The sequence below is a fragment of the Homo sapiens genome, chromosome 11 (genome assembly GCF_000001405.40).
Source record: "Homo sapiens chromosome 11, GRCh38.p14 Primary Assembly".
In the NCBI taxonomy this organism is placed as follows: Eukaryota; Metazoa; Chordata; class Mammalia; order Primates; family Hominidae; genus Homo; species Homo sapiens.
In genome coordinates, this window is record NC_000011.10 from 38,679,393 (window position 1) to 38,690,408 (window position 11,016).

The 11,016-nt window shown below is 31.8% G+C and overlaps 1 long non-coding RNA gene across 2 annotated transcripts in view; it reads left to right on the plus strand.

Annotated features, from left to right (window-relative positions):
* Nucleotides 1-8,356, plus strand: part of LOC105376635 (uncharacterized) — a 41,273-nt gene extending 32,917 nt beyond the window's left edge. The window contains exons 5-7 of one of the 2 annotated variants that reach the window (NR_188550.1): nt 2,065-2,210; nt 5,226-5,305; nt 6,667-8,356. This is a non-coding gene — a long non-coding RNA (uncharacterized LOC105376635). Of the gene's footprint in view, nt 1-2,064; nt 2,250-5,225; nt 5,306-6,666 lie in introns of both variants that reach the window. The other variant, NR_188551.1, reaches the window with a different exon arrangement.
* Nucleotides 8,357-11,016: the final 2,660 nt, after the last annotated feature.

The window sequence follows — 11,016 nt, forward strand, 5'->3', positions numbered from 1 at the left end:
GTAAGCAAGAAATAAACATCTTTTTATGCCATTAAGATGCGGGAGTAGTTTTTTTGTTGCAGAATAGTAAATCCTTTCCTTTGTTTTATGCACCTCAAAAGGTTTCAAAAATTATCTCTGTCGTTCCCCGTCAGAGGCAGAGTTAGGAACCTGTCCTATGATCTCTTTAGAATGCATTCCTCCTTTTAAATGCTAACATTTGTACTTTTGGCCTGGGGATATACGGCAACATCTTTTCATTCTACAAGATCTATCTGTGGACCTATCCCAGCTCAATGATTGGAACAAATTATCCACACCAAACTTAATCAATGTAACATATCCCCAGTGATTAATTCAAATCTGGGTACCTGACTAAATAATTCTAAACACATGAATCTGAAGACTCTAATTATTCTGAGATTAAAATACTTTCATTTTATTGAATGATTTGAAGCTGAAAGGAAATAGCTCTAGAAATACCGGAAGCCAATCCATTTTAAAATCAGAGGCAACATAGGTAACCTCAAACCACATTACAAAGAGAATTATATGCCCTAGTATATCACATGACCTTCTCACACAACATGCCTAAAACTAAACTCACTCTTAAAATTTTCTGTAATTAATAAATTTCCCTTAGGTCAATTTAGGCTTAGTTTTCCTACCATTTTTCTGCTATTACAGGATTTAAGATGTCATTTATTATATATTTGGATACGTGTATCACTCTCTGAACTGCATTTCTTGAAGCCAGAGTCTCTGTCTCATTTGTTTTGTATAGCTTTGTTTCTTTGAGTACTGATTTTGTAGCTAATTCCTGGCTTGCAGTCAATGTTAAATTAATGCTTATCTAATTTAACTGAACCAAATAGGGGATAGAAAATGTTTTGGAAATATTAGGAGATATTGGGCTCTAGTTGACTCAGCAGGCATTCAGAGGTTTTCTACCAAGGTCACACACACAAAAAAGGAATGTTTAAAGCAAACATCACAAATTTTCCAACATTGCTTGGGGCCATTTTGATATTCTAGCAAAAACTGGAGTCATCTCGCAATTTTTAGACGGTTTAAAAATATTAGAAAGGCCTTGCTAGAATTCTGCCACTTCATGTTGGAAGAGGCTACCTCAAGTCTTAAAAAATCATGGCTTGCCAGTAAAACATGAGAATACAGAAAAAATAACAGGAAGATACGTTAAAAGAATAGAGACAGCAACCTCAGAATTGTTTTTTTCTGAGAGGACAAGACAAAAATTTGGACATAATTTATATTTAAGAAAACGTCTTAAATACTCTTCAGTAGGAAATGCTTCAATATCTTTAATCTTCTCAGGTGTTTCTCATAGATGAAACTAATCCCCATTGGGGGCTTGGTAACACACTGTGAATGATGCTCTCTCATTACCTGTCTCCTCAGGGACAAGGCTGCTTGGAGCATGACAGAATACATCCTCCTATTCTCAACCTGAGTCAGTGTCACCTTTCTCTCTTTGACCTTTTTCAGGAACTGCGGGGCTATCATTCTTAACTGACACTAATGCTCTCAGGCACCTTACTCCCCAGGACAACACCCATTGCTCTTTGGCTGTGACTAATGCTGAGAACTTCCTTCTAACAGGAAAAAATACTGTAAAAGAAAATGCTGACAATTACTGTAGTAGAATAAATAATGATGATATAATGCCATCAATATACTTCTGCTCAACGGCATTCTTCCAATTTTCTCTCAGTGCTTTCTCCTTTTTCCTTTAAATAATCATTGCATTTTGTCCTCAAGTTGTCTTATTTGAAACTTTTATGTCTTCCGCAAAACATAGGACTTATTTCCTGAGCTTTCATTGGCCATTTGATAAACTCTATTACAACCAGGCATTTGCTAATTTATTAAACCATTTCTGAAAGTATGGTCCATGGACCATGAGCATCAGAGTTACCCGTACCACCTGTTTCACAATGCAAATACAAGTGCCTCACAAAAACCACTGACTTTCTGGGAATCTCTTTCTTAACCAGTAATCCAGATGATTCTTTTAGGTATCAAAAAAGGCTGAGAACTACTGATTTATTGTCTCTTTTGTATCAGGCACTGTTTTGGACATTGGGAACATCGAAGTAGAGTGAGCATCATCATGAATGGAAACACTTTCTCTGAAAAAAGACATAAAACAATTGAAAGTCAGCAGTGTCTTTCTTGCAAAATATTATGAAGATCAGGACAATTAGAATTAGGTATACTCCAATTCCATTTTAGAATTTGCAATAGAGAAGGTATTAAAATGTTTTATTTTATTACTTAGAATTGAAATCTATGTTTTAGGATCTTAGCCTACTGATTACTTTTAAGTAGCTTGTTTAGATTTTATGTTGTTATGTCAAGATCATTTGCTATCATTAGTACTTTATAAACATTTGAGTTAATTTTTACTTAGAACTTTTAAAATAAAGATAAAAGATGGATTCATTTCCCTAGCTTTCTCACACAATCATGCAAACCTTTCTTGCAATAAGTGTCTAAATTGTGTAATCGACATGAAAAGATCTGGAATTAGTAATTCCAGTGAGTATTTAGACGTAGTTCTTGCTCCCACTTAAGTTTTAAAGACATGTTAAAACCATATGAAATAACTGAAGAATTCACTCATACAAAAAAAAGTTTATACATAAAACTTCAGAGGTTTCACAATCAGTTTTTAAGTATGAGAAGTATAAAGTACAGTAGAACTGAATCATAAGGTATTTGTGGAAAAAATGGGGGGCAAAACAAGAGCATTCCGAGTGGATGGATTGATAAGAACAAATAAATTATTTACCAACAGGGAAAAAAACGAGATTGACAGGTATTATTCTATTTTGTAAAGTCAGATTCATAACGACCTGTGAAATGGCAGGCTGAGCAACTGGGTTGATATTTACAACAAGTAGTGAACTTTTCTGTGGAGCATTAAAGGCAAAACAAAACCAACTATAAATTATAAAATGATAGAGGCTAGTCAAGGTATCTGGCTTAAAGGTGAATTCTCCAGATAAAGAATGAAATTCCCAAATTCATATCGGCAGCACAGTTTGTAATGCCATCAGTTCAAAAAGGTCACCTAAAATCAGATTTTACAATTCTCAAAAGAGTAGAAATTTAGAGAGTGGCTTAAAACATGTAGACATATTTCCTAATTACTCTAAATATTTATCATAATTCTGAGTATAATGTTGTTAAACTCATAATATGTTACCTTGGAGAAGTTCCAAACTGTGTTTTGCCATACTGAAAACAAAAAACAAAAATCTTGTAACTTTCTACTGTTGGAATTTAGTAATTGTGAATACATCTGTCTAGTACCATCCCAAACTCATAAGACACTCAGATCCATTTAAGTTGCCTTGCCCAAAATAACTATGTAATTTTTATACCTAGTCATAAATGTATAATTTTTTTTACTTACTATTTTTAATAACATCATTCCTTAACCTACTCCTATGCTCCACAGAGATCACCTTTATAAACAGGGACATATAGTTTGGTGATGGAGACTTAGGTCTTTAACTTCAGGAGTGGCTTAAGTCTTGCATTTATTACTTACTAGCTATGCGCCTTGAAGTCACTTGACTATTCTATAAATTAGTTCATCCGTGAAATGCAAAAAGTAGTCCGTATAGGGTATTTTGAAAATTAAATTATCAACTGAAAAGTATTTTTCATATAGGACACCCTCAATAAAAGTATAAATATTGGCCGGGTGCAGTGGCTCACACCTGCAATCCCAGCACTTTGGGAGGCTGAGGCGGGTGGATCACGAGGTCAGGAGATCATCCTGGCTAACACGATGAAACCCTGTCTCTAATAAAAATTCAAAGTAATTAGCTGGGCGTGGTGGCAGGCGCCTGTCGTCCCAGCTACTTGGGAGGCTGAGGCAGGAGAATGGAGCGAACCTGGGAGGAGGAGCTTGCAGTGAGCCGAGTTCGCGCCACTGCACTCCAGCCTGGGCGACAGAGCGAGACTCCGTCTCAGAAAAAAAAGGTATAAATATTATTATTTATTAGAAGCAAATGTAATTAGCCTGGTAGTTTTCAGAAAAACAATAATTTATATATACAGACTCTGATAAAAGTTTTTATTTTCATTAGTTTCATTCAAATAATTAAATCTGTCCCAGGAATAGCTTACAGATATTGTCAGATGCATTTGATATCTGAATTCAAATACTGGCCTGAATTTCTCTGAATACTGATTGATTTCAGTTTGTAATGTTCTTTGCGGTTTGACATGTATTAACTCTGAAAGGCTCTGGTGGAGGATCCGCAATTATGTTTTCAGTTTCTCCTTTTATTATGTAGCTTAAATAGCTATTGACTATGTTCTTTCAAGTACTGCTTTTGTTGCTAATAAAAGACTCTACAGAACTTTTCAGTTCATTCAACTTCTTCATATACTATTTCAGGTACTAGGAAAAGCTAGAGATTTTACTTCTCCTGAGGAGATGTGCAAGAAAGAACTGCACACTGATATATTGTGGAAAATAAAAGTTGCAACAATACAACTTAAAACAAATTGGCCGCCATGCCTGACTTTTGTAGCTGTGTAATCATAAAGAAGTAATTTATGCCCCTAGTCTTAGTTTTCTTATGTAGCTTATGGAGGTCGTAATATTTGCTCTACTTATTTCATAGAGATTTTCATAAGGAACAGATAAGACCATGCACATTTAAAATTGAATAGCTGAAATCAAATGTAAATTGGCCTTATTATAACTAATATGTTTATCATTTATCCTGGCATCTTTTAATTTCTTAGCTCATGTTATACTTGTTAAATCAACCCTATAAGGTTTTTAAAATTATATCTATTTCTTGATGAAAAAGAAAAGATTGAAGAAATTAAGCCACTTGATAATACGTATTAGAGCACAATTTCAGACCTAGGTTTGTCTAACTTTGAGGTTTGAGCAATTTTCTTCAAAACTACCTCTAAACAATAGCTATTATAAGGAAAATATACTTGATTTTCATGAAGTAAAAAAACAAAATTCAGCAATTCTGTTGAAAATTTTAATTACATTATGTAACATTAGTTTTGATGGTTAGGTTTAAAAATATAGTTCTTTTAATAAGAAATATATTGCAATATTTTTATATATTATCCTAACAACCTTGTTAGGGAGACATCATGAAGTCAGACTGTGTGATTTCACAACCTAGTTTAGTTCCTACCTGCAAGACATTTTTAGGCTAATTATTCTCATCTTAAAATAGGTGCTTTGGGAATGGAATTAAATGAGCTGATTCATGTAAAGGGATTTAACTGGGTGCCGGACCTGTCATAAACTCTTAACGTAAGTTCGCTAACATTTTAATATGTATAGTAATGTTCTATTGAATTGAGAAAAATATTTTACTTAAGAAAAACAATGAAAAAGGCAGTGGTAGATACGTGTTTACCATTTTACTAGTTTTCTTTGGCATCCAGAAAGACTGCATTTTCAATCTTCCTTCTCAGTGTTTGAGGACAATGTAACTGTGTCCTCACCAATGAATAGGAGGTAGAAGTAACCTAAGCCACCTTCGGACCTGAAGGTTTAAAACTTCTGCATGATTTCCTGCATTTTTAAGGCAGTCAATATAAAAGCATGGAAGGATTTCTACTTGATCATGCCACCTTACTCCTACAATCTGTTGTTTTGTCATCTCTAAAAATATGGATTTTTATAAAAATAATAAACTGTAATTATCCACAGAAAATTTAATACAAATTCTTGGGTATCAAATAATACTACATTATTCACATAAATACATAAAAGTGTTTTCCAAATTGCAAGAATTACTTTTACAAAATTTACCGGATTTTTGATCCAATAACAAAATCCATTTAATATAAAGTTATGTTTTGTAACTCTTGTTAAATTTCAAACACATTCTTTATGCCACTGAGAATGGCAGAAATAGGTCAGAATCTCATTGTCAGTGTTTTGCCGTTTGAATATGGCAATGTTTGCTTCATTGTGCTTTTAGTTAACTTGTTCTTCTATGCTTAATATTCCCTGTGAATGAAAGTTATTTAAAAAGACTGATTAGATCTAGACTCTGATTTTGACTAGACTACTTTAGTTGTTTCTATGCGTTTCATATGCATTCCATCAGGAGACCCCCAATATGTAGGGGCATTGATTTAGATCAGATGGTGACAGCCTCGTTCCTTCTGTTGTTGGTTTCATCCACTGATGATTGTTGACTAATCTGTACATTTTATAATGCACAATAGGAATGTTCTAATTTTAATCATCCTTTCCACATTTAAAAACTGGAATTCTATCTTTCATCAATTGAAAAACAGTTAGATATAGGACAAATTCATTTAATTATTTTCCAAATTTATCTTTGCAATGTATTATATATTTAATTATTTATATATTGTAATATATATATGATATTGTTAAGTAAAAATGAAGATGAGATGATATTGTTAGTAAAATAGTCCATGTACAGTTGACATTTTAAAAGGTAACATGAAACTAAAATTAGCTTTATTTTAGAGAGTTAGATTTTGGTAAAACAGGGATTTTTTAAATTCAAAATTGTTATTAAGGAGACATTTTATTCTTTAAAATAAAAAAAACTGATTGTAAATTATCAGTGACTGAAACCTACATCTCTTAAGAAATGTATTAATATAAATTTCTCTACATTTTTGACACAGGTGAACAGGAGAGTTACTGTAAAAACTGAGACAACAAAACAGCCGGAGGCATGAAAAGAAAAAGAATCCCGCATGAATAGCTTGCTATATGTAATTTGGTTAGGAACAATTCACAGGTTTTGACAGCTTTATTAGAGTTCCATTTTAGTAAGATTCAGGTGAAAGTGAGGTCATCACTTTAAAACAAAAATCCTGAGAACATACCCAGATGGACTCACATAAATGATGTATACTAATGTCGTCAAGTAAATATTTTAAAGAGTTAATTGCTTTCTTTATTAAAAACTGGATTTAAATACTCCATTATTTCATAAGAATAAAACAACTACAACACCGCCACAACATAAAAAGTGTTTACCTTAATGTATTATGAACACCAGCAGTGAGTTCCAGTAATATCTTGCACTTCTGAAGATGTGTAAGTATACTAAGGAACATGCTTAACTTAGAACTCACTAATGGAAGTTACAGAGATTTATTCAGATCCATGTTAGCATGCTTGATACCCTTAAGCACACTAACAATATACAGCATCTGCTTTCAGGGATGTTTTTACCTCTTGTACTAGTTTCAGAAAGCCCATGTCTGAATAATTCCTAAGTAATGGTTTTTTAGCTTACTCTATAATTTTGATTTTGAGCCTGACTAAATAAAACCTTTTTAAATAGACAGTGGTTTTATTATTATTCTTATTTTACTGATGCAAACAATCAAGGTATGTGCAGTAAGATGTCTTACCAAATGTCACCCATTTAGTATGAGGCTAAGCTGGATTTCAAATGCTAAATTTATTCCTCTTACCATCTTCTGCCTCCCATAATGAAGACTAATTATCTTTGTGTTGCAAATGTAGATTTATAAGTGCCAATTAATAGAAATTAAATCCTGGTCAAAATCCCACTAGAGAATAGACTTTCCTGCGTTTATCAATTCAGCTTCATTCTCTCTCACTAAAGACTGACTGGTTTAAAGGTTAAAGCCCGTCAGCCCCTGAAACTAAGTGATAACCAATCCGTAGATCAGTGTCAGCTTTATTATTATTCTTCACCAGACACCCCTAATCATTTTCTGTGTCTGACATTTGAATCCCTGCACAAAAACAATTTGCACAACTTTAATCCCCCCTCCCATTTAATCCATCACATACTGTGACACCTGATAGTCCCACTGTGAGCAGCCTGTGAAATATGTCAGCTTTATCTCTGATTTACACTGGATTCTGCTAACAATAAATGCCATTGCTGAATGTATTCTAACCTCTCTAGACTTGCAAGATTGAAGTAAGTGTCATTTTCTTTTCGTAATCAGTGCCTTTTTCTTAGATGAACACAGAGAACAGTGAGTATGGAAGTATCCAACAGTTCAGAGATGATTTTAACAATTTATGCTACCAAAATCTGTAGTTTGATGAGTACATAAGAGGTATGATAAAATATTGTTTTCCTGTTTCAACCACATGTTGGTCTTACCTAGGCTTCATCTATATCCTTTTGTTATTGGCTTTCTTTGGAAAATTAGTATCAACTTTAAACTTTTTGCTACAATAATTCACAAAAGATCCTATAGGTAGATGTTATTTCAGGAACATAAATATCCTGTTGAAGCTAAAAGTGGTGGTAATATCTGAAGACTGATAGCATTAGGATAATATAGAGTAGTGGTAGGCTTGGGAGAAAGACTTATATGGGGATTTCAGCAGCATACAGTAGTAATTTACAATATATATTATTCAATATATGTAGAACATACAAACATATGTTAATAATTTTACTCTATAACTGAGAAACAGAGAAAGCCTCAAAAAAATAAGCAACACGATGTAATGCCAATGGTAGATATTAGGGCACCCAATTAATTCTGAAACATTGGCAATTAAAAATAAAGAATTTGGAGTTTCTATAAAACAACATGTATATTAACAATATTATACATATACACATAAAGTTTATAAAGCCAAATTTGGTAAATAATTAGATGAGTCTTATGAATAAAAAGCATAAATGCTAGTATATTAATAATAAAGACAATTAGAAAATTCATTGAGATAATTGGATTGATCTATATGCACTAAAATGGAAAACTAATGTATACTAAGTAAACAACGTCATTTAATTTATATAAATAAATGCATATAATTTCAGTTTTTCATATATGCAAAATATGATTCTAAATATGTAAAAAATCATATGAATAGGAAGGCACAGAAAGAGGAGTGAAGTATAAATATAGCAAACTAATAGCGTTGCTTACATTTGGAAGGGTATATATAGAAAGCAAAATAGTCCAGAGATAGAACACAAAATGAAATTTTTGTGTTTTACTCCATAAGTGTTTTATTACCTGATTATTATACAATAACTATTTTATTTTGCAATTAAAAATAAAAATGTATTTTTCTTCCACAAATAGTTAATGTAATTTCAAAACGTGGTTATATATGACTTTATAGTTTAGAGACAAAAGCACAAGTGCATATTATTCTTAGATATCTGATATTATATTAAGAAAGATTTAATGATATATAGCATTTATAGAACTTTTATTAGGATGTCAGCTGTTCTCCAGTAATTGACATGAGAGTAGGTAATTTCTTATCACTGTCTCCCTCTCTTTTTATTTTTTATTATTTTTGAAATATTTTTCACAATTGTTATTGACTTTATTTTTCCCTTTTTAGTAATATTCTATTTATTTGCCTTTACAAACTTTAACACTTCTCTGATAGTTGTTAATCATAGTTTTTTTTGCATGTTAATAATTTTCACTCTGTATTCTAGTGGTGTGTTATTGTCTAAAACATGAATAAAATTCCTAGAATCCTTTAATTCTCTCTCCTCAATCTTCTTTCTTAACTCTGAAGAGAACTTACGATTAATTTTAAAAGTAATTTGACTTTCAAAATGGAATGTATAGATGATTTGGGAATAAGAACAAGTTCCCACTTTAAAGCACTCAAGGTAAAAAAACAAAAACAAAAACAAAAACAAACTGGTGTTAAACCAACATTAAATCTTCATGAAAAATACCCCTTTGAAAGAAAGCTACAAGTGCATCAGAGTGATGGGTTTTTGACATAAGATAATATTGCTTTTAATTTTAGTTACATTCACTGACATGTAGGTTTCTGTGACACAGAGATGGAAGCTAACTAAAAACAGAGGCTTGATAGAAAATTCCTTAATGATGATTCATCACAATCAATGATCTGAGTTGAATATTCACCAATAAAAAAAGAATACAAATGAATGTGTGATTGTTCTAAAATTAAAAACTTTTACCTTTATTGAATGTTTTAAACACCTAATAATAATAATTTTTTCTGATTTACAAAATATCAACTATTTTAACTTTTCAACCTAATAGCTTTGTGAAACAGGGAGGAAATTTCATGGTATATTTCAGAGATAAGGAAAATTAGCCTCAGAGAAATTTACTGACTGGCTAAGTAACAGAGTTAGAAAAGGTAGAAGCTATATTTCAAATTGAGACTCCATAGTGTTACATTTTATATCAAAAAGAATTAACTGATTGTATTTTTCAATCCTTAATACATTAAATTATTTGAAATAATTGGCTAAACTAGAAGATAAATATTTTAGTGTTTCACCTCATTGATTATGTAAGGGTGAAAAACAAAACGCATTCTAAAAAATATTAATAGACTTGCACTGTTGTGTTAAATATACTATGCACAAAGATATTTGTATTCACAGATAGATAAAGATTTAAGCAATGCTTTAACTGGTAAGTTAACTTAATTAAACACTTTTAAATAAAATTTGTAAGAAATGGAAGTGATTAGATGGTAATTTTATAAATATGAATTTATGTAATTTAAATATGTATGTTCTCTATTCATCAAATTTCTTATCTATATGAATAGGGTAATATTAGTGCTAACTCACTGGATTATTGGAAAGAATACATAAAATAATGCATGTAAATATACTTGAAAGATCCAATAAATATTAATTATTAACACTATTTTTCTTCTTTTACTGCTGCTTACTAGCCTAGTTGATCAAATTAAGCATTATATAAATGTTGTGTATGAGAGAACTAGTATGTAGCTAGAGCCAATAATGGATATTTGGGTTTTTTGTTTTGTTTTGTTTTGTTTTGCTTGAATGCCACTAAAGAAAATGAGATACAGGTAAGGGCAAATGACAAATAGAAATCATCATTTTGGTCTACTGTAAAAGCTATTTATTGATGAACTCATAATACCATTGTAATGGTTAATACCGAGTGTCAAGTTGATTGGATTGGAGGATGCAAAGTATTGTTCCTGGGTGTGTCTGTGAGAGTGCTGCCAAAGGAGATTAACATCTGAGTCAGTGGACTGGCAGA